We start from the raw sequence: 23623 nt of genomic DNA, 5'->3' as shown, positions 1-23623 counted from the left end.
ATGGGGGTGCTGCAACTTTTATATATTCAGAACTTTGGCTACCTCTTCCTCAGATCTTCTAGTGCCTTCCTTCACCTCCCAAAGCAACCCCAAATGACTCCAGCTTGCCTTGCAAAACCCCCTTGCTCATGCCGTGCTCAGCATTTTCTTTCCTGGTGCCCAGGTCCTTGGATTTAATTACACAACCACAGAGACCTCCTTTGGTACCTTTAGACCTTTGGTTCTTAAAGCAGGTGGCATCTCCACTCGGGCTGGAGATGGGAAGCCCAGGACAGAATATGGTACATCTTCCTGATGTATCCATTTCTCTTAGAGAATTAAGCAAAGTATTTGAAAGTTTAACTGGAAATTTAAAAGGGGCTTTTTAAAAACATTAAAGCTGGCTGGGCGCGGTGGCTCACGCCTGTAATCCCAGCACTTTGGGAGGCTGAGGCGGGTGGATCACGAGGTCAGGAGATTGAGACCATCCTTGCTAACACGGTGAAACTCCATCTCTACTAAAAATACAAAAAATTAGCCGGGCGTGGTGGTGGGCACCTGTAGTCCTAGCTACTCAGGAGGCTGAGGCAGGAGAATGGCATGAATCTGGGAGGCGGAGCTTGCAGTGAGCCGAGATCGCTCCACTGCACTCCAGCCTGGGTGACAGAGCAAGACTCCATCTGAAAAAAAAAAAAAAATATATATATATATATATATATAAAGATTAAAGCCAACATGGATATATTATGGAATATAGGGTCAATTCATATGAAGTTTAAAGATCAACTACAAGTGATTTCAGGCCGTGGAGGCCCCTTTGGGCTATCTCCTGACTTTCCTAACATATCCATCTACTCTGTTCGGATACTATGGATAACCTTAGGAAATGTTTGACAAAGACCTCCTTATTCCTTTCTCTCTGCCCCTGAATATCTTTCCTAGATTATTTAAATGCATTTTTTTTGTTTTGTTTTGTATTTTGAGATGGAGTCTTGCTCTGTCACCAGGCTGGAGTGCAGTGGCACCATCTCGGCTTACTGCAACCTTCACCTCCCAGGTTCAAGTGATTCTCCTGCCTCAGCTTCCCGAGTAGCTGGGACTACAGGTGGGTGCCACCATGCCCAGCTAATTTTTTTGTATTTTTAGTAGAGATGGGTTTCACTATGTTGGCCAGGATGGTCTCTATCTCTAGACCTCGTGATCCGCCGGCCTCGGCCTCCCAAAGTATTGAGATTACAGGCGTGAGCCATTGTGCCCAGCCTTAAATGTGTTTTTTATGGCTCTCTCGGTTTGCACTTTTCAGCCTCTTTCAAAACGATCTCTTACCCCAGAAACTTCTTGTTCTCCAACTAGTTATCAAAGCCTCTACCTTTAAAATTCTCTCCTCTACAATTTTCTTAAGTAATATGTGGTGGTGGGGGGGAAGTATTACACGGACCCGTAAAACACAAATCGCTGTCTAATCTTTTCAGTCGTGTCCTCCATTGATTCTAATCATCCACCTTAAGGCTTCCAAGGCACAGAATGCTCCATCATTTGAAGATTCTTCTCTAAATGCAGAGGGAAAGACAGTCCACTGTGGCCTCTTAATGCAACTTCTTCCTCAAATCAATCCGTGTTTCTCCCTAGAAACGGCAGGTGGACCAGGACATGAGTATGTTTATGGGCCTGCAGAATTATGTGACACAAAAGAATGTCATCGGATGGATCAACACCTCAATTAATGAGGGCAGATACTTGGGCTGGACTGTGTAGCCTCTTTGAAGGCCTACCACAGAACTCTGATTTCATGGGTGGACTGTCTGCGGAGGAGTCCTGACTTAGCAAGAAGCCCAAGTAAAGAATTTTATGGGAGAAGGGACTCTTCAGAGGAAGGCAAATAACAGACTGAAGGAAAGGGCGTTTGAAAAGAAGTGAAGAAATAAAAAGAAAAAAGACATTACATACTGTGTCCACACCCTCTGCAGTGGGATATAAATGCTCCCTAGAGGAAGGAGACCCACAGCTCTGTGGCTTGGAGAATTTAGACTCTGTCTTCAGCCAGGCACTCCCTCCCTCCCTCCCAGCACTATGCCCTACAACTTCTGCCTGCCCAGCCTGAGCTGCCGCACCAGCTGCTCCTCCCGGCCCTGCGTGCCCCCCAGCTGCCACAGCTGCACCCTGCCCGGGGCCTGCAACATCCCCGCCAATGTGAGCAACTGCAACTGGTTCTGCGAGGGCTCCTTCAATGGTAGCGAGAAGGAGACTATGCAGTTCCTGAACGACCGCCTGGCCAGCTACCTGGAGAAAGTGCGTCAGCTGGAGCGGGACAACGCGGAGCTGGAGAACCTCATCCGGGAGCGGTCTCAGCAGCAGGAGCCCTTGCTGTGCCCCAGTTACCAGTCCTATTTTAAGACCATTGAGGAGCTCCAGCAGAAGGTGAGCGGCATTGCTGTCATCTCCAAGCAAGAGAGTTTGCTGTGATTCTGTCTGTGATAGAGAAGTGTGTTTCTTGCTTCTGTGCTGTCATAATTCTTGCTTCCTCTTTTATTTCAAAATGGCTTAAGTCATTTTTAAAAAGTTGATGATTTCATATTTATTTTCAGTCCTCACTAAGCCACCTCTCACTCCCCAGATCCTGTGTACCAAGTCTGAGAATGCCAGGCTTGTGGTGCAGATCGACAACGCCAAGCTGGCTGCGGATGATTTCAGAACCAAGTGAGTTGTTCGGAATTTGCACTAGTGTCAATTGCTTCTGTTTAATCTTTAAAGAAAAGGGATTTCCATCTGAAAACAGATCTACCCACTTGTTGTGAAGGATTCTGCAGAGGACTGGGGAGAACCAAGCAAAGAAATGCAAAAATGGATGAGGACTCACATCAATCTGTTTGTTTTGGGATGAATATTGGGTATTGATGGAGCCTCCAGAAACCTCTGTCTCCTGGGCCTATTCATTACAGAAAGTGGAAAGATAAGGCACATGAGGTTATCAAAAATCATTCCTGTGAGTCTTGAAGATCTACCAGGTAGTACTCTGACCCTGTCCTTGCGCAGGTACCAGACCGAGCTGTCCCTGCGGCAGCTGGTGGAGTCGGACATCAACGGTCTGCGCAGGATCCTGGATGAGCTGACCCTGTGCAAGTCCGACCTGGAGGCCCAGGTGGAGTCCCTGAAGGAGGAGCTGCTCTGCCTCAAGAGCAACCATGAGCAGGTGAGACTAGAAATGAGAAATGCACAAACCTGTCTCAGCCTCTGGCTCAGGGTTGCTTTAGTGATTTGGGGCAGCAGAATGCAGAGTATGAGTACAAGACTGAGGGTTTCCTTTGAAAACATCACGGTAAGAGAAAAATTGGAGAGAGATAAGACCTGTTCATGTTCCCAGACAGGAAACATCTTTCACTTTAAACTAGCACATTATTTGAGTTGCCCGGAGCAGCTCCATGTGCTTGCAGTTGATCAATAGTTGTAGAATGAGTCCTAGCATTGCAGTGTTATTGCTTTGTAAAGTCTTTTTTTTTTTTTTTTGGCAAAGGCCAAGAAAAAAAATATCAAACCTTATAAATGTGAGTCTCTACTCTTTCAAAGTATTGGTGAAGAGTGTTTGTGAGATTCTTCCTCTCTCTTGGGAGGGGCCATGACATGCTCTTACCTCTTACTTGACAGCAAGAGTTTTTTGATATATGGTCTGAAATTGCACAGCCTATTTTTTTTGGCATTCTGAGGTCCTCACAGCCAATTGTAAACTGGGAAAGTTGAATATCAATTAGTTCATCCTTCAGTGGCATCCAAGCAAACTTTTGGGATTTTTTTCTGAAGCCAAGTGCCATGGCACAGCAGATGGTGGGGAGGGGGCTATGCCACATGGAGTGCCTTGAGCTGTCACAAACTGCTCCACTCAAAGTTTCTTTTCCGAGAAAATAGACTAACAGGGTTTCAACAAGCAATGCCATTCCTTAGAGTTCATTCTTTGCTGAGCATAGTAACTCTTGTATTTTCTGCATCCATAGGAGGTCAATACCCTGCGCTGCCAGCTTGGAGACCGCCTCAATGTGGAGGTGGATGCTGCTCCCACTGTGGACCTGAATCGGGTGCTGAACGAGACCAGGAGTCAGTATGAGGCCCTGGTGGAAACCAACCGCAGGGAAGTGGAGCAATGGTTCACCACGCAGGTGGGCATCTAAGCACGTGGCCCCTCAGGACCCAAGGCCCCCCAGGGCCCCGGAGGCAGGGTCTGATCCTTTCTCCCCTTGGGTGTTTCAGACCGAGGAGCTGAACAAGCAGGTGGTATCCAGCTCAGAGCAGCTGCAGTCCTACCAGGCGGAGATCATCGAGCTGAGACGCACAGTCAACGCCCTGGAGATCGAGCTGCAGGCCCAGCACAACCTGGTGTGTATTGTTCAGACCTGCTGGTGAGCGACGGGAACTTGGGAGGCAGAGTCCCGGGGATGTGCTTGGGGCCACACACTCTCCTTAGCTCTTGGAGCTTGTGACTTCCTTGTAATCCTGTGAAGAAACCCTTTGAAGGAGCAGCTCTCTGACATTCCCAATCTTCTCCACCACAGCGAGACTCTCTGGAAAACACGCTGACAGAGAGTGAGGCCCGCTACAGCTCCCAGCTGTCCCAGGTGCAGAGCCTGATCACCAACGTGGAGTCCCAGCTGGCGGAGATCCGCAGTGACCTGGAGCGGCAGAACCAGGAGTACCAGGTGCTGCTGGATGTGCGTGCCCGGCTGGAGTGTGAGATCAACACATACCGGAGCCTGCTGGAGAGCGAGGACTGCAAGTGAGTACATGGGCAGACGTGTTTGATGAAATGATGCACGTGTGAGTGTAACAGTTAGACACCATGCAAATATTGCATACCTTGGAAAGGAAATTATGCCTTCACACTAGACATGCTCAAACAGAACTCAGACAACATAATATGGCCATCATTTAAAACATAAATGGTTTGGTAGCAAGAGTTGTTTGATGTACAAACTGAAATTGCACTGCCAAGTCTTTGCATTCTAGTATGATAATATGCATGACTGCATGATATGTGATCAATGCCTTACTTTTTACAATACTGTATTGCCTAGTGGGTACATTCCCATAGGCTACCTGATTTGATCTTATAATTACCACCAGGTGGGCTGGATCAGTATTCCCTCCATTCTACAGGAAAGTAAACTGGGGCTTGGAGAAGGTAAATGACTCACCCCATGTCATCAGTTTGGCATGAATGGATTTGAGAGTAGACATCAGAGTTTCAGAGTTTCTGTCTACCTTGGTGCTCTATGGCAGGGAGACCATTAACAATTTGAGTTAGTTATCTTTGTAGCAGGGGAGTCTGTGCCTTTTCTGTTCTAGGCCAGGTCAAGTCCCTTGACCCAGGCATTCTTACCCTTGGGGATATCTCTGGCATATGATTTTAAAATTGCCCTTAACTCACTTTTCCACATCATTCTTTTGTCTCCAGTCTGCCCAGCAATCCCTGTGCCACGACCAACGCGTGCAGCAAGCCCATCGGACCCTGTCTCTCCAATCCCTGTACCTCTTGTGTCCCTCCTGCCCCCTGCACACCCTGTGCCCCACGCCCCCGCTGTGGGCCCTGCAATTCCTTCGTGCGCTAGAACCTAGGGAATGCCAGAGGAGCAAGGATGCAGGGCCCAGGACTCCAGAGCTGTGACCTGGCTCTGGTTCAACAAAAGGGGCCTGAAAACATCATTTGCATGGCTGGAGTTGCCCGCGTAAGGCAGCCAAGAAACTCACCCAAAGCCTGTAGCCTCCCCAACTACTCCAGACTGTCCTGCTCACCCTTTCCTTCCTGGGGGTCTGTTCCTTCCTATGCTCACCCAGAGAACTCTCTGATGTGCCAGTGGGCCTCCCTTTTAACCTCCTAATAAATATCATTTCCTTGGCAAAGCAGATGCCTTTTTCATTTGTATTCATTTGTTTCAACGTGCTCATCACCTGAGTACGCTATAAAAAGCCACTTGAAAGACAGGCCATATAATGGCCTGACTCTTGGATACCAGAGCAGTTTCATGCCTCAGGGGAAGATGGTGAATCTGGTGCCCTGGACCCAGGAGCGAGGCAGGCAGGCCAGTGGGAAGGAGGGTGGAGGTGCTGAGTGCTGCAGTCCCTATCTCCCCTTAGCTATTCTTGGATTTCCCTTCTAACTTGGACATCTCCCAGAGCTGCTTGTATCCTATTCTGAATGGAGGAGGCATGAGCTGCGGGCTGGAAAGAAGCTCTGGAAAACTCATGTTCTTTCAGCAGGAGTTTCAGGTTCAGTGCTGTATTATTCTGGGTTATTGGTGGTCCAGGCATTTCCCAGCGAAGAAACCCTCTGACCTGCCCTGCTATACCCAGGAATTCCTCCTTTCCCTTGTGTGGGTTGATCATTATCAGCCTGGGCTTCCAGCTTCTGTCCTCCCTCCTCGACTCCAGGTCTTAGAGACCCCGTCAACTCTTTATTTGATCCTTTGGCCTTTCTCAATTCAATCCAACCAGTACCTGTTGAATACCTACTCTGTGCAGACGCTGGGTGGTGGGATGGGTAGAGACACATGAAGAAACACACAGTTCCTGACTGCAACTTACTGATAATTTGTTAAAAAACTAGTCCCCAAGTAGTGCTCTTATAAGGCCCAGTCCCCTGGCACTGTGAACAGCTGGTGGGTGCTAGAAGGAACTCTGAGTACCGAAAGGGACAATGCTGGTACCCAATGGCATTGGTGTTTATCAAGAAAGGGCATCTTTCTTTGACTCTCATGAAGACCCATGGAAGTGTTTAAGCATAGACCTCCCGAAAACATAGAGGGCCATTTTGATCTGAAGGGATCAGAGGTCTCTGACTTTTCCCACCACACCAGGCTTTCCCAGCGGGTATCAGACTCCACCTGGGTGAAACATAGTCCTGTGTCCTAAAATGATCAAGTGAATCGGAATTTTATATGTATATATATATATATATAAATATATATAAAAAATATATTTTTGTTTGTTTTCATAAAGCGATGATTCTCTCCACCATAATTTCTCCCTTGATTCTTCTTTTTAAAACTCAAGTTCCAGGATGGATTTGGATTTGTGCTTTGCTGCTTGGCTTGTGAGAAACCTCTGACCTGGAACTCTGTCTCTACTATGATTCACCCTGTGTCTGTGATTTCCTCCAAACCCAAGGTCAAGCTCAGTCCAGAGGCTCTCTCTCATGTTGCTTGTTTCTTTATTCCACATCCTGCTTATGTATATTATTTTACAATAATACAAAAGTACTGCTAATAGCTCCTGTGGTAGACAGAATAATTGTCCCCTCCATCCCTCATCAAAATGTTCATGTTCTAATTCCTGGAACCTGGGAATATGTTAGATTACATAAAAAAGGAAATCGAAGTTGCAGATGGAATTAAAGTTGCTAATCAGCTGACTTTACGATAGGGAGATTATCTCGGATTATCAGGTGGACTCAGGGTTCTTAAAAGTGGAAGAGGGAGGCAGAAGAGTGAGAAGGTGATGAAACTATGGACCCAGGTCAGAGTGATGTGATGTGAGAAGAACCTGCCTTGTCCTTGCAGGATTTGAAGATGGAGGAAGTGGGTCATGAGCCAAAGAATGCAGGTCATCTCTAGATCTTGGAAAAAGCAAGGATTCTCCTCTAGACCCTTTAAAGAGAAACGTAACCTTGCCAGACCTCTGATTTTATTTTTATTGTGGTAAAATATGTACAACATAAAATTTACCATTTTAGCCATTTTTAATGTACAATTCAGGGGCATTAAGTACATTCACATTGTTGAACCCTATGCACAGATTCCCACTAATTTTTGGCAAGTCTCTTCAGGAACTGCCTTTAGATTCAATTATGAGTCACAATCCTATGGAGGTGGTTTTAAAAATGATCCAAATTGATTGTCTACGTCACTCACAAGGTTTCTCTTTGAACAGCTTCAAAAAAGTCAAACCTATCCTCAAAGGACAAAGGTTTGTTATCAGCAAACTGGATATTAAAAAGATACAGACATTAACAAAACAGAACTTTCTAAACGTGCTTTGACTAGAGATGGCATCCTGGAATAAAGAAAAATTCTGGCTGGAGGCAAAATTTATAGGATCTGTAAATTCTGCCATGTTTTTTAAACCATAAAAATCTCAATCGTTGTAGCTATACCTCCCCTTAAACATTTCCATGTGGCTTTCAAATTATTTCCAGGTGCTCTGTCATCATCATCAGACACACGGCAGGACAGTGGTTCTCAACCTTGGCTGTGTTTGAAATCACCCAGGGAACTTAAACAATTTTTTGAGGCTTGAGTCTGCTCTCAGGGAGTCTGATTTGATTGATCTGGGATTCAGCCTGGTCACTGGGAGTTTTAGAAGCTCTACAGGTGATGAGCCTCCAATGAGCTAGGTTGAGACTCACTTACCAGAACCTGGATTCTAGCTCTGACATTTACGACCTTAATAGCTCTGTGTCTTTGGATAAGACATGTGGCTTCTCCTAGCTTTAGTTGCCCCAAAGGTAGAGTGGAGATAACCGTGTCTTCTCTACTTACTTTATAAACTTGCCAAAGGAAGCATGGAAAACTGTTTATGGAAACACTTTGTAGACCACATATTTTTATTAGGATTATTGACAATTTTTATTATTGCCGGTATAGCTAAGTTTCTTAAGGTTAAAAAAGTATCATCATTTTCTTTTTCTTTTTGGATTTAGGTTCAACAGCAGGATTTGCATATTGTCGTATTGTCTTTCACACCATAAATTCTTTCTTCTTTAAACCCAGCTGTGCACCAGAAGTGTATGGTCTGCTCGGCATATTTGATACTTTTTGGCCCCAGGCTCCTCTTGTGATAGGTGGGCGGGCAGCTCCTTTTTCAGTTGTCTGGGCTATTTGGCATGTCTGATGCTCTTTGGTGACCTGTTTTATTGCCTCCTGAGCTGTCTTGGTCTAAACTCTTAGCCGGCAGTATCTACCACTCTCCGACCTTTGACTTTTCCCTAGGCTTATCTCCTGGATACTTTTGCTGTTTCTTTTCCTTTCTGTTTCCCTGCAAATTTTATGTTTACTTTGGGATGGAGCTAAGGCACTTTTTTTTCCATCCTTACATCTGGAGTTAAAGCCATCATTTGAGTTTTTTGAGGCCTGAGGCTGCTGTCAGCATCTGCAGGAAGAACAGCAGGCTGTCCAGGAGCGCTCAGCATTTTCCTCTATATAAGCACATCCCGTTACTTCCAGGAGCCAAGCCATGCCATGATAAGCTTGTGGGATTTGTTACTTTTTTTTTTTGGAGATGGAGTCTTGCTCTGTCACCAGGTTGGAGTGCAGTGGTGCGATCTCAGCTCACTGCAACCTCTGCCTCCCAGGTTCAAGCAATTCTCTTCCCTCAGCCTCCTAGGTAGCTGGAACTACAGGCGCCCACCACCACACCCAGCTAATTTTTTGTATTTTAGTAGAGACGGGGTTTCACCATGTTGGCCAGGATGGTCTCCATCTCTTGACCTCGTGATCTGCCTGCCTCGGCCTCCCAAAGTGCTGGGATTACAGGCGTGAGCCACTGCGCCCAGATGGGATTTGTTACTTTTTAAACTCCCAGTTTGCTGAGGAGTAAAGTGATGTGCAGGAAGCCTAGGTGTGTCTTGTCTGGTGCTCATAGCTGGTATTGGAATCCATGATCTCTCTTCTGCATTTTCTCCCAGCTGTTATGTTTTGTCACAGCCTGGCCTAGGTCAGTGTCTCATCTCTCTAACTCACAATAAATATGATGGGTCAGGCCGACTGAAGCCTGCTTACTTGTGTCATTTTGAATGAGTTAAATTTACTCCCAACATTTCAGATTCTTCATCTCTGCTACATGGTGACAAAAATGGAACCTGAACACTCAGGTTCTGGGGTGAGGATGAAATACTATATGCAAAGGTACCTAGTAGACTATCTGACTAGAAAGTGATTGATTGATATTCATTTCCTTACTACCTTACTGTCTGGGCACTAGTTTTCTCCTCCATAAATTCAGGTCCTTCTAGCTTTAGAGTTCTTTGATTGTAGGAAACTGAATTTACTTCTGAGATGAACTTTTACAGGATTAAAACTCATGGTTAGAAGGGTAGTCTTTCTTCTAAGTTCTAAATCACTTAGGTCATGTGATTATGCATTTTAATTTGCTTAGATATTCAGAAAAGACAATCTAGTTTCCAGTTTGGATCAATTATGCAAAAGGACGATTATTTCCCTGTGGAGAAAAATAAATGAGTAAGACTTGGCCTTAGTTCAGGAAGGTACCATAGAGATTAGCTGGGTGCTCAAAGGCTTGGGCAGAGAGGCCTTTGGAGGAATGATGGAGTATGAAGGGGTGGGGAACAGGGCCCTAGAGGGGACCAGAAGGAAAAACTACGAAGTAAGGGGCAATGGGAAGCAATGAATATTTCCCTCACAAACCAGAGAAACCTCTGTGCCAAATATAAAGGTTTTGTACTGTGTTTAGGTGTTCATGATCAGGAGTCATAAACCTGAATTGTTCAAATCCCTGCTCCACCATTTATTGCCTGTATCTAGGGCAAATGTGGAGCCTTTCCCAGTTTATTTCTTTATCTGTAACATGGGAATAATAGGCCAACTTTATACAGTTGTTGGGAGAATCAAATGAGAAATGTGCCAAAGTGCTTAGTGCCTTGTTTGGCATCTAATAAGCCTTGATGAAATGGCAGAATCATCATCAACAACAACACTGCCATTATTATCATTATTACAAATGCTTGCACAGAGCTATAAGGCTAGAAGATTCCAAGAGGATAACAAAAGCACATTTCAATCCCAGTACCAGAAAAGAGGCTTTGGTGATATTACAATTTCATGTGGAGAACTTGTCCTCCTCCAGAACTACCCCAAATAAGATAACCAAACCCACAAGATCAGGAACTTAGCAGAGAAGATAGAGGTAATGGTTATCTGCAACTTCCTATTTCAACCACTAAGTTAATGTTAACATTTGCATTTTGATGGTTAATTTATGAATAGAGTTCTGTGCCCCTAGTACTTACAAGGTAAGTGGGTGAAGTTTGAGCACCACTGGGTTGGGATGGGCAATGGGCAATTTGTCTGCTTAACGAAGTAGAATTTTCACAAAATTCTTCATCTGAGCCACCTGGGTCAACAATAGGAACAATGAAGTTTATGGAAATAAACATCATCACTCCCTCCCCCAAACATGTTCACACACAATACCTTACCTTTTGCAAAAAAAAACAAAAACAAAAACAAACAAACAAAAAAACAAAACTATGAGGTAGGCAGCATTATTATTATTTCAATTCAAGAGATGAGATAAACAAGACTCAAAAAAGGGAATGAACTTCTCTGAGCTCATATCATAGGTAAGGATGTAAATCCAGGTCATTTAATTTCAAATTCGTGTTTTTTGGAGAGTGACATCAGCAAGATGAGGGAATAAGCAGCCCTGGACCCTCCTCACCGTCATGGGCACACTAATTCAATAATAATACTCAGATAAATTTTATTTGTGAGAAATCTAGTAACAATTTGAGAGGCTCTTGCACCCTGGATGAGTGTAAAACCAGCCAAATCAAAGTTGGTAGAAAGATTTTAAGATACTCTATCACAATAATCCCTGCTTTCTCAGCATAGTATCATATGGTTAGGAGGAAATCCCCCTCCCAGCTTCTTTGCAGGGAGAGGAGGAAATAACTGGACCATACATTCAACATTCAGATTTTTCTGAGAGCTGCCAATGCACTAGCTTCTGTCTTGCCTGTCTTAGAATGCGGATGGAATCCAGCATACTCCAGACGTCTAGGAGCCATTGAGAACAAAGAGGGTAATTTTAACTAGCATATGAATATTCACCACAGCCCTCTCCCCCGGCCAAGTTCAGAGCGAGCCAGTGAAAAACCCTGGGTCCCAGGCTCTCCCTGGAGAGAGAAAGAGTTAGACCTGTGTCCAATATTCTGTCTTTTCTGTGGACAGTATCAGGGATGGGCTTCTGTCTCACCTGTGCCAGAGTGCTATGGAAACTAGCCATACTCAAGATGCCTGGAGGCTGCAAAGATGGTGGTTTGGACTAGCACAAAAATTTGAGAGGTCCCCAGTATCTCTGGCTGGGCTGATTGGTGAAGGTCTTCTCCAGTACAAGGCCAGTCCGTGAAGATTGGGAGAGGTGGCTGTTTTGTCTAATGCACAGACACCAGCACAAAGATCCAAGGATAATGAAGAAACAGGGAAATATGTCCTAAACAAAGGTACAAGATAAATCTCCTGAAGTTGACCCCAATGAAAGAGATATACAATTTACCCGAAAGAGAATTTGAAATAACCATATATTCAAAATAGAGAATTCAAAATAACCATATAATCACAGGCTGGGCATAATGGCTCATGCTTGTAATCCCAGCACTTTGGGAGGCCGAGGTGGGTAGATCACTTGAGGTCAGGAGTTTGAGACCAGCCTGGCCAACAGGGCAAAACCCCATCTCTACTAAAAATATAAAAATTGGCTGGGCACAGTGGTGCGCAACTGTAATCCCAGCTACTCAGGAGGCTGAGGCATGAGAAATGCTTGAACCCAGGAGGTGGAGGTTGCAGTGAGCCGAAATCATGCCACTGCACTCCATCCTGGGCAACACAGCGAGACTCTGTCTCAACAAAACAAAACAAAAACAAAATAACCATAATTAAAGATGCTCTGCAAGGCCAGAAGAACAATACACAAAGTGAGAATTTTCAACAAAAAGGCAGAAAATACAAAAAGTACCAAACAGAAATCATGCTGCTGAAAAATACAATAACTGAATTGAAAAATTCAATAGAGGGATTCAATAGCACACTAAATCAAGCAGGAGATAGGATCAGTGAACTCAAAGTCAGGCCATTGGAAATTATCCAGAGGAACAAAAAGAAAAAAGAATAAAAAAGAGTAAAGAAAGCTTAAGAGATGTATGGGACATCATCAGGCAGACCAACATTCACATTAGGAAGATCCAGAAGGAGAAGAGAGAGAGAAAGTTTAGAAAACTTATTAAAAAAAATAATGGCTCAAAACTCCTGAAACCTGAGAAAGAACATTGACATCCAGATCCAGGAAGCCCAGTGTATCCCAAATAAGATGTTCAGATAAATCAAAGTGATACACATTATAATTGAATTGTCAGAAGTCAAAGACAAATAGGGAATTTTGAAAGCAGCAAGAGAAAAGTGACATCATGTACAAGGGAACCTCCATAAGGTAATTAATACATTTCTTAGCAGAAACTTTGCAGGCCGGAAGGACATGGGATAATATATTTAAAGTGCTGAAAACAAACCAACCAACCAACAAACAAACTGCCAACCAAGAATATCATTCCCAGTACAATTATCCTTCAAAACTGAAGGAGAGATACAGACTTTTATAGATAAACAAAAGCTGAGGTAGTTCATCATCGCTGGACCTGCCTTACAAAAAATGTTAAAGGAAGTTCTTTAAGTTGGAACAAAAGGATGTTAAACAGTAATATAAATGCATGTGAAAGTATAAAACTTGCTGGTAAATGTAAATATACTGATAAATATAGACTACTGTAATACTATAATGGTGGTAGGTAAATCACTCTTTTAATTCTACTATAAAATTTATTTATTTATTTATTTATTTATTTATTTATTTATTTATTTATTTATTTTTGAGACAGAGTTTCACTCTTGTCACCCAGGCTGGTATGCAGTGGTGTGATCTTGGCTCACTGCAACCTCCGCCTCCCGGGTTCAAGCGATTCTCCTGTCTCAGCCTCCTGAGTAGCTGGGATTATAGGTGCCTGCCACCACGCCCAGCTAATATTTATATTTTTAGTACAGACAGAGTTTCTCCATGTTGGCCAGGATGTTCTCGAACTCCTGACCTCAGGTGATCTGCCCTCCTCAGCCTCCAAAAGTGCTGGGATTATAGGTGTGAGCCACCACACTTGGCCCTCTACTATAAAATTTAAAAGATAAAAGTATTAAAAATAACTATAACTATAAAAATAGGTTAATGCATATGCAATATAACAAGATGTAAATAATGACATCAATACATAAAAGATGTGTGTGGGAGAAGCAAAAGAGTAGTTTTTGTATGCAGTGAAAGTTATCAGCTGAAAACAGACAGTTATAAGTTGTTTCATATAAGCCCTATGATGATCACAAAAAAATACCTATAGAAGATACACAAAAGAAAAAGAAAAAAGAATAAAAACATATCGATACAAAAATCCATGCAACACAAAGGAAGACAGCAAGATAGGAAAAGAGAGACAAAAGAACTCTGAGAAAGACAAAAGAATTAACAAAATGGCAATATTAGTCTTTCCCTATCAATAATTTATTGAAATGTAAATGAATTAAACTCTCCAATCAAAAGACATGGAGTAGCTGAATGGATTTTCAAAAAACCAACAAGTACTATCTACATACTATCTAGAAGAGACTGACTTTAGATTTAAAGACAATGTATAGGCTGAAAGTGAAGGAATGGGAAAAAAAATATTCCGTACAAATGGTAACCAAAAGACAGCAGGATGGCTGTACTTATATATCAGACAAAATAGTCTTTAAGTCAAAAATTGTCACAAAAGGCAAAGAAGAACATTATATAATAATGAAAAAATTCACCAGGAAGATATAACAATTGCACACATATATGAACCCAACATCAGAGCACCTAATATATATATAACAAACATTGACAGAACCAAAGGGAGAAATGGACAATGCAATAATAGAAGAATTCAGTAACTCACTTTTGATAATGAATAGAACATTCAGATAGAAAATCAACAAGGAAACAACAGATTTGAGCAATACTATAGAACAAATGGACCTAACAAATAACACGTTCTATCCAATGGTAGCAGAATGCATATTCTCCAGTGCATGCGGAACATTGTCCAGGATAGATCATATGTTGGGTCACAAAACAAGTCTTAACGAATTTAAGAGGATTGAAATCATACTAAGTATCTTTTCCTACCACAATGGAATGAAACTAGAAAACTAGAACGGAAATAAGAAAAAAACTGAAAAATACACAAATATGTAGAAATTAAAAAACATTTAAATAATCAATGGGTCAAAGAAGAAATCAAAAAGGAAATTAGAAAATATCTTGAGACAAATGAAAATGAGAACACAACGTATCAAAATTTATGGGATGCAGCAAAAGCAGTACTAAGAGGAAAGTTTTATATATGTATATACATAAACCTATATCTAAACATACACACACGCCTACCATGTACCTACAAAAATTAAAAAATTAAAAAAGATAAAGAACAAACTAAGCTCAAAGTTAGCAGCAGGAAGGATATAATAACACTTTTTGCTCTAAATTTTATTATGATACTTACGATAAAACTTAGAGCAGAAATAAATAAAAATAGAGACTAGAAAAACAATAGCAAAAAATCAATGAAACAGAGTTTTTTTGAAAGACACAGAAAATTTACAAACCTCTAGATAGACTAAGAAAAAAAGAGGAAACACTCAAATAAATAAAATCGAAGATGTGCTTTTCTGCTCCTCTCATGCTGCTTTTGAAATTCAGATGCAGCCTTCTTTAAATGATTTGTATTGTGTTCCACAAATAATCTTTTGGGACTTCTTTCTGAAACATGACTTTGTTTCCCTGCGGAACAAAGGCAAGGTAGAGTGACAGGGAAAAGAAGTGAGGTAGGGAAGGCTATTCTGTGAAGAGTGATTATTGGGCAATAGAGAGGCTCCCTAGGTTATGCAAGAGTCAAAGGGTAACTGGATCCCAGAGGTGATAGAAGCACACTTATCAGAGACAGTGTCTACTTGTAGGGACAACAGAGTAAATCTGCATTCTCATGGGCACTGTGGCTTGTCCTGGAAGCATCTCAGGCTGGCATAGTCATACCTCTAGGAGAGTTAATACTCTAGAAAGAGGAACAAGTCTAGAAATAAGATGATAGAAATTTCCAGAGAATTTGAGAAAAAGCCACCATGGATACAAAGATACCTCTGAGCACCCTTGCTCCAATTTTCGTTTCTTGGTGAGTCTGCAGTATTATGCTTCATATTCATGCTTCAGTGCTGCCATCTGAACTCTCACTGCTCCAGACTGTTTCCAGCATATTTTTTCTTCTAGATATTTCTACTCTTGCTCATCTTTAGAGAGGCTGTTGCTTTAGTACAAGTTGGCAAATTTTTTAATTTTAGGGCTTTGTGGACACTATAGTCTCTGTCACAACTACACAACTCTGCCACTGTAGCACAAAAGCAGCCATATACAATAGCTAAACAAATGGGCATGGCTGTGTTCCATTAAAACTTTATTTACTGCCGGACGCATTGGCTCACGCCTGTAATCCCAGCACTTTGGGAGGCCGAGGCGGGCGGATCACGAGTTCAGGAGTTCAAGAGCAGCCTGGCCAACATGGTGAAACCCCATTTCTGCTAAAAACACAAAAATTAGCCGGGTGTGGTGGCGGGCACCTGTAATCCCAGCTACTCGGGGGGCTGAGGCAGATAATTGCTTGAACCCGGGAGGTGGAGGTTGCAGTGAGCCGAGATCGTGCCACTGCACTCCAGCCTGGGCGACAGAGTGAGACTCTGTCTCAAAAAAAAAAAAACAGAAAACAAACAAACAAAAACTTTATTTACAAAAATTCAGCAGGGTAAACTTGACGTGTGGGCTGCCATTTGCAGATGCCCTCTTTTAGGTATACTCCCATCCATTCCATTGGTTTCCATTTTACTTTCTCATTTCTCAACCATGAACATGCCATTGTTTTCAGTTGCTCCATGTGTTGGCAAGTTCCCTAAACCCCAACGAATAGTAAGGCTCAGGATCATTTCGGCGAATACAGGTTGAGTTTCTGCTATAAAAACAAATTGAATGCTGAAACATGGATGAATGTGGGAGGAAAGAGCTACTTGGAAGAGTAACTCTCAAAGCTCTCTCTCAGAGCTCTCTCTCTGGGGAGAAAGAACAGTGGCGGAAACTCCTGGGTGAGGAATCCCTGATTCCCAAACAACTCCACCCCATGTCCCTGGCTGTCCTCCCCTCTGAGTAATGCAGACAGCCTTTTGGGGCTGTGATGATTCTATCTCCTATGAAGCCATCTGATGAAACTCTGATTTCACCAACCACTAGCACCCAGGAAGAGCCTGGTGTGACATAAGCTGAATGGAATAATTTTATGGGTTGAGGGGGGACTCTTTAGAAGCATCTAACTAGCATATTTTGGAGAAAAATTAGCTGAAGCATTAGGAAAGGAAACTATGCTGTATGCCAAGCCCCCACCCACAATTAATGGTATAAAAGGACTGCAGAGGAAGGAGAGACTCAAACCTGCCCACATCCACCTCCAGCAGCTTACCTGCTTTTCCATTACCTGTTCCAGCACCATGTCTTACAGTTGTTGCCTGCCCAGCCTGGGCTGCCGCACCAGCTGCTCCTCCCGGCCCTGCGTGCCCCCCAGCTGCCACGGCTACACCCTGCCTGGGGCCTGCAACATCCCCGCCAATGTGAGCAACTGCAACTGGTTCTGTGAGGGCTCCTTCAATGGCAGCGAGAAGGAGACTATGCAGTTCCTGAACGACCGCCTGGCCAGCTACCTGGAGAAGGTGCGTCAGCTGGAGCGGGACAACGCGGAGCTGGAGAAACTCATCCAGGAGCGGTCCCAGCAGCAGGAGCCCTTGCTGTGCCCCAGCTACCAGTCCTACTTCAAGACCATTGAGGAGCTCCAGCAGAAGGTGAGGGGGTTGGCCATATGGGGGGCCAGCAGCAGCTGGCTCTCTTTGAACAGTAAGACATTTTCAAGTTCAAGTGTACCTCATGAGAGAAATTTCTTTTCAGATTCTGTGTGCCAAGGCTGAGAATGCCAGGCTGGTGGTGAACATTGACAATGCCAAGCTGGCCTCTGACGACTTCAGAAGCAAGTATGTTGAACTTCAAGGTCCCTATGGTTCTTTCATGGCCCTAGGGACCTACTATTGCCTGGAAGAGAGGAGAAAGCCATTTCTCTCTATTTCTCCTCCTAGGGCTGGTTATGTAAAATTAGTTTCAAATAGGGAACTAGACTCATGTGCTGCCTGCTCTTTGGTCTATACTGGTTTTTTTTGGAAGTGTTTCTTAAACCACAAAATTCAGAGATTGAAATGAATTGTTCTTTGGGAATTGATTTGGTGGTATATTAGCTAACAAAACCGAGAACACAGTGAGAGACTTCATCTCATGTGTGCCTGTGGGCTCCTCGTGGTGTTAGGTGAGTCAGGGAACCTCTTCAGCCTATCCATGGACAGCTTGACTGAAGCATATGGAAGAGAAGAGGCAGAAAACTGTAAGTTCAAGAAGATTCAGGCCAATTCTACCCAAACAACACATGAGAGGGGAAGGTGGTTTTCTTTCCTGACTTATCCTCCCACTCCGACACGTGCAGGTACCAGACGGAGCAGTCCCTGAGGCTGTTGGTGGAGTCGGACATCAACAGCATACGCAGGATCCTGGATGAGCTGACCCTCTGCAAGTCTGACCTGGAGTCCCAGGTGGAGTCCCTGAGGGAGGAGCTGATCTGCTTGAAGAAGAACCATGAGGAGGTATGAAACAAATTCACAAAAGCAGGCCTCAGAACTAAGCTACTAGCACTGGGAATCAGGAGAGGATTACTGTCTGGATCCCTGGTCTGGGACCCTTCTCTGAGGAACTCAAGATGTTCTCAGAGAGTGACGGTGCTACATCCATATCAAGGAGTGGAGTGAGCTGCTCATTCTTCAGCGGCTGGGTGAGGGTTAGGCAGGTGTTGGAATTACTGAGGAGGGACATCATTCATTGAGCCCTGCTCTCTGCTGATCACTGCTAGGTCCTGAATTTGGTGGTGGAGATGGAGGGACAAAAAAGAAATAAGACATGGCCCTTTTCTTAAAAGAGCTCACAGTCTAGTATAGAAAGACAGTCATATAAACACAGTGATATAAACAAGACAGAGTGAAACAAGTACCATATGAGATGTACAAGCAGTATGCTCTAGAAATAATCCAGGCTGCCCAAGAGGAGATAGGGAACTCTTCTCAGATGCAAAGAGGAGGATTCCAGTACTTGGGTGTTTCAGTCTGAGGGAAGAGGTTGAACAAAGACACAGAAGTGGCAGGGCAGGGTGTATCTGGGTATGGCTGGGCATGCAGTACCTCCAAGGGATGAAAGTGAAGATGTGATGGGAAGCGAGGAAGGACTTGCATATGCCAAGGAGTTTAGACTTAGTCTTGTAGAAGGTGTGAGGTTGTTTCCGTTTCTATGGGACAACAATTGACGTGATCCCTGTTGGAGTTTATTGCTATAAAATGTGTGTGTCACTCTTTGGGAATGATCAGAATCTTCCTTTTAGTGCTTTTTTTTTTTTGACGGAGTCATGCTCTGTCACCAGGCTGGAGTGCAGTGGCGTGATCTAGGCTCACTGTAACATCCGACTCCCTGGTTCAAGTGATTCACTTGCCTCAGCCTCCTGAGTAGCTGGGATTACAGGCACATGCCACCACGCCCAGCTAATTTTTGTATTGTTAGTAGAGATGGGGTTTCACCATGTTGGCTAGGATGGTTTCGATCTCCTGACTTCGTGATCCACCTGCCTCTGCCTCCCAAAGTGCTGGGATTACAGGCTTGAGCCACTGTGCCCGGCCCCTTTTAGTGCTTTCTGGGCAGCATCAAGCTCATTTTCCCAGAGCAGGAAGATGGCACATCTTCCATGGGACAGCAATTGATGTGATCCCTGTTGGAGTTTATTGCTATAAAATGTGTGTGTCACTCTTTGGGAATGATCAGAATATTCCTTTTAGTGCTTTTTGGGCAGTATTGTGCTCATTTCCCTGGAGCAGGAAAATGGCAGATCCATTGCCGTAGGTTCATTGTTTCCCTTTTCTCCAACAGGAGGTTAACACCCTGCGCTCCCAGCTTGGAGACCGCCTCAACGTGGAGGTGGACACTGCCCCCACTGTGGACCTGAACCAGGTCCTGAACGAGACCAGGAGTCAGTATGAGGCTCTGGTGGAAATTAACCGCAGGGAAGTGGAGCAATGGTTCGCCACGCAGGTGGGCATCTAAGCACATGGCCACTCAGGACCCGAGGTGCCCCAGGGCCCTGGAGACAGGGTCTGATCCTTTCCCCACTTGGGTGTTTCAGACCGAGGAGCTGAACAAGCAGGTGGTATCCAGCTCAGAGCAGCTGCAGTCCTGCCAGGCGGAGATCATCGAGCTGAGACGCACAGTCAACGCCCTGGAGATCGAGCTGCAGGCCCAGCACAACCTGGTGTGTATTGTTCAGACCTGCTGGTGAGCGATGGGAACTTGGGAGGCAGAGTCCCGGGGATGTGCTTGGGGCCACACACTCTCCTTAGCTCTTGGAGCTTGTGACTTCCTTGTAATCCTGTGAAGAAACCCTTTGAAGGAGCAGCTCTCTGACATTCCTGATCTTCCCCACCACAGCGAGACTCTCTGGAAAACACGCTGACGGAGAGCGAGGCCCACTACAGCTCCCAGCTGTCCCAGGTGCAGAGCCTGATCACCAACGTGGAGTCTCAGCTGGCAGAGATCCGCTGTGACCTGGAGCGGCAGAACCAGGAGTACCAGGTGCTGCTGGACGTGCGTGCCCGGCTGGAGTGTGAGATCAACACGTACCGGAGCCTCCTGGAGAGTGAGGACTGCAAGTGAGTATGGGGCAAATAATGTCTGGGAAGAATGTGTACAGTGGGATATTGTAGGCACACAAATGGTGGCCATGTTTTCAACTAGTCAGGCAACACACATTAACTGTGTAGCATGTGTCCAGTGATCTGTGATAGCTAAGCAAAGGGAGGCCAAAGGTAAGGGAACAGCCCCTATCTCAGGGGGCTAACAATGGAGGAGTGGTGGCAGGAGCTGGCCAGTTGTAGGAATAACATTTGTGTAAGGCACATTAAGTTCCAGGAGACCTCAAGAGTATGAGATAATATTTTTGAAAAGCACAATTTTTCCACCTCTGCACATGGCATTCTGGGAGAGAGAGAAGGGTTTGGTAGTAATCAGAACTTGATTCTGGCTGGGTGCAATGGCTCATGCCTATAATCCACTTTGGGAGGTTGAGGTGGGTGGATCACTTGAGGTCAGGAGTTCAAGACCAGCCTGGCCAACATGGTGAAACCCCATCGCTACCAAAAATACAAAAAATTAGCCAGGCATGGTGACGCATGCCTGTGATCCTAACTACTTGGGAGGCTGAGGCAGGAGAATCGCTTGAACCTGGGAGGCATAGTGAGCCTTGGCTCCCACTTGCAGTGAGCCAAGATCGCACCACTGCACTCCAGCCTAGGCAACAGAGCAAGACCCTGTCTCAAAAACAAAACAAAACAAAACAAAAAGAACTTGATTCCAACTAACTCCAGCCACTGAGAATTCATAGGTTGTGTCATTAAGCCCAAGGTATTGTGTGCATTAAAACCTCCTCCTAAAGCCATTCTAAACCTCCTTGTCCTCCTAGGCTCCCCTGCAACCCATGCGCCACCACCAATGCTAGTGGCAACTCCTGTGGACCCTGTGGCACCTCTCAAAAGGGTTGCTGTAATTGAAAAGCTTGTATCCTCTTTGAAGACATCTACAAAGCCATTTAGATCAACCACAGGAAGGATCCTCAAGTCCTGACTTTTCTGGAGCTCAGCTGACATCAAGAAACCTCATCTTGCCTCTATGTTATTTCTAGAATGCTGAAAAGCTTTCCTGACCCAAGCAAAGACACACATCATCAACTTCCAATGTCTGGACAACTCCTTCCTGTTGAGGGTCGAGCCTGTTTGTTTCTAAAGATGTTCAGCTCCCTGTAATCTGAGCTCCAGTTACTACTTAAGGTGTTTCCTGAACGTACTACTGCATTTCCTGTTTTCCTTTTTTCTTTGGCATTCTCTGGAATGCAAGGAGGAGACTTCATTTACTTCCCAATAAACTTCATTTCTCTGGCATAATAAATGTTTCTCATTCATATTCATGCATTGTAAATTACTCATCATGGCTGTTTCATAAAAATACCCCTTCATTAGGAGAATAAAATGAAGTAAATGACTGAGCCAAGCCTTTATGCTTCACCAGAAACACTGATGTAGACAGGGAAGGACGTCCTTCTGGGAGACTCCCACCCAGGGTAGGCCATGCAGGAAACCTGGCCTTCAATACCCATGCTTACCTTGCCTTGACTACAGGGCCCTTGGCAATTTTGCAAAGCCTCCCCAGACTTCACTGCTATCTCCAGCTCTCACCCTCATCAGAATAGAATGTTCTGCTTCCCTTTCTCCTAAACTGCCTGAAGAAACTACAGAAACTGCTTCTACAGAAACTGTTCAAAGAGCAGTGATTCTCTCCTCTCAACCTCTCTGCTGCTGCTGCCTTGCTGATATAGATACCTACTCCTCCCTTAAAATACACCTTCATTGATTTCCATAACCCTGCACACTCTGGGTCTTCTTGTAATATCTCTAATTACCTGTTCTCTGTTGTCTTGTTAGCTGTCTTCCCCTTTTTGTCCCAAATGAAGGAAACACCTATATTCTTAGCCCTCTGTCTTTCTCTTTCTACGTCCCTGTTCGTGTAGATCTAGCTCCTCTATGCTGATGACTGCCACATCTCCCTCTCATCTCAGCTCAGTTTCCAGGTTTTCTGTTGCGCATATGACAGCTTCACTTGGTATCAGGTCATTACATCATGTTTAATTGGACTAAAACGTATTTTTCCCAAACTGGTTCATCTTGCCGCCCACTTGTTATGCCTGACATGTTGTCCTCCAGATAGACCCTTTAAATGCAGTCCTTACCTTTCCCCTCTTCAAGTTTATTCTTTCCCCTAGATCTTTGGTCTTATCCATAATGTTCTTCCATAGCCTCTTTATCATTTCATTTTCTATAATTCCAAGAAAGGCCAATGTTCATTAAACATCTCCCCCAAAACATTAATCTTACCCCACACCCCACCCCACTTGCCTCATCCCTGAATTTTTAAAGCTTTCAATTTTATAGGCCAGTCTCAATTATCCATTTTATTTAATCCTATCTGATTGACACAACTGCAATCAATCATCTATAGTGTGTGCTGGGTACTGTGGGCGGTACTGAGAAACACAAATAAGTGAATCCCAGTCTCGGCCCACAGCATGTTTTACAGTTTAGAGTGGATGAGACAAAGCTACAGTCATCATAGACAAATATCAGTGTGGCTCAAGAAAGGTGCAGATAAAGAATTACGAATTTCAGATGTGTGAGAGAATGAAAAGAAGAGGCTCCAAGAAGGAGGGAGCACTCAATCAAAGCCTTGAAAACCCAAATGTTCTGTTGATATAAATTTTGTCTGCCTGTCTTGTTGACTGCAGGCCCTTCAGCAGAGGCAATATCATCACCTAATTAAAGACGATGTAAACCATGGAATACTGTAAGTGGAATAAATAAGGAAGAGTAACACTAATGAAAATTCATGAGAAGGTTATTAAAACTTTATATACTTCCCATAGTTTCAACTTCAATCAATGATTACTGTATGATATTAGCATAATTCTGAAATAAAGTTTGCTGGGAAATGTCTGGTCAGGTGAGTGTGTTTAGGCCATAGAAGAGGGAAAGTTTTGGCCAGGTGCAGTGGCTCACGCCTGTAATCCCAGCACTTTGGGAGGCTGAGGCAGGTG

At 44.2% G+C, this 23623-nt stretch overlaps 2 protein-coding genes across 3 annotated transcripts, besides 3 other annotated features; both read left to right on the top strand.

Annotated features, from left to right (window-relative positions):
* KRT31 (keratin 31) lies at positions 1981 to 5868 on the top strand. Its single transcript, NM_002277.3, has 7 exons — positions 1981 to 2397; positions 2594 to 2676; positions 3013 to 3169; positions 3966 to 4127; positions 4219 to 4344; positions 4521 to 4741; positions 5420 to 5868. The coding sequence occupies exons 1-7, from the start codon at positions 2050 to 2052 to the stop codon at positions 5571 to 5573; spliced, it is 1251 nt and encodes a 416-aa protein (NP_002268.2). The 5' UTR covers positions 1981 to 2049; the 3' UTR covers positions 5574 to 5868.
* Positions 5055 to 5554: an enhancer, noted in NCBI's record as "H3K4me1 hESC enhancer chr17:39550287-39550786 (GRCh37/hg19 assembly coordinates)". NCBI's record gives its function as "activates a minimal SCP1, AML or CMV promoter by ChIP-STARR-seq in primed H9 embryonic stem cells {active_cell/tissue: H9 hESC(primed)}" and the evidence as "EXISTENCE:reporter gene assay evidence [ECO:0000049][PMID:30033119]".
* Positions 5555 to 6056: an enhancer, noted in NCBI's record as "H3K4me1 hESC enhancer chr17:39549785-39550286 (GRCh37/hg19 assembly coordinates)". NCBI's record gives its function as "activates a minimal SCP1, AML or CMV promoter by ChIP-STARR-seq in primed H9 embryonic stem cells {active_cell/tissue: H9 hESC(primed)}" and the evidence as "EXISTENCE:reporter gene assay evidence [ECO:0000049][PMID:30033119]".
* KRT34 (keratin 34) lies at positions 15773 to 21920 on the top strand. 2 transcript variants are annotated; one of them, XM_011524793.3, is made up of 8 exons: positions 15773 to 15985; positions 17339 to 17690; positions 17794 to 17876; positions 18377 to 18533; positions 19858 to 20019; positions 20111 to 20236; positions 20413 to 20633; positions 21443 to 21920. In XM_011524793.3, the coding sequence occupies exons 1-8, from the start codon at positions 15936 to 15938 to the stop codon at positions 21528 to 21530; spliced, it is 1239 nt and encodes a 412-aa protein (XP_011523095.1). In that variant the 5' UTR covers positions 15773 to 15935; the 3' UTR covers positions 21531 to 21920. The 2 variants fall into 2 exon arrangements, with proteins under 2 accessions (XP_011523095.1, NP_001372943.1); NM_001386014.1 differs by lacking the exon at positions 15773 to 15985 and having other exon boundaries at positions 17283 to 17690.
* Positions 17091 to 18290: an enhancer, noted in NCBI's record as "BRD4-independent group 4 enhancer chr17:39537551-39538750 (GRCh37/hg19 assembly coordinates)". NCBI's record gives its function as "activates an origin of replication core promoter dependent on BRD2, P300/CBP, MED14 and CDK7 cofactors, and independent of BRD4, by STARR-seq in HCT116 cells {active_cell/tissue: HCT116}" and the evidence as "EXISTENCE:reporter gene assay evidence [ECO:0000049][PMID:35650434]".

Source organism: Homo sapiens, chromosome 17, assembly GCF_000001405.40.
Source record: "Homo sapiens chromosome 17, GRCh38.p14 Primary Assembly".
In the NCBI taxonomy this organism is placed as follows: domain Eukaryota; kingdom Metazoa; phylum Chordata; class Mammalia; order Primates; family Hominidae; genus Homo; species Homo sapiens.
The sequence above is the reverse complement of the archived record's forward strand: the minus strand, read 5'-3'. Positions and strand labels throughout refer to the sequence as shown.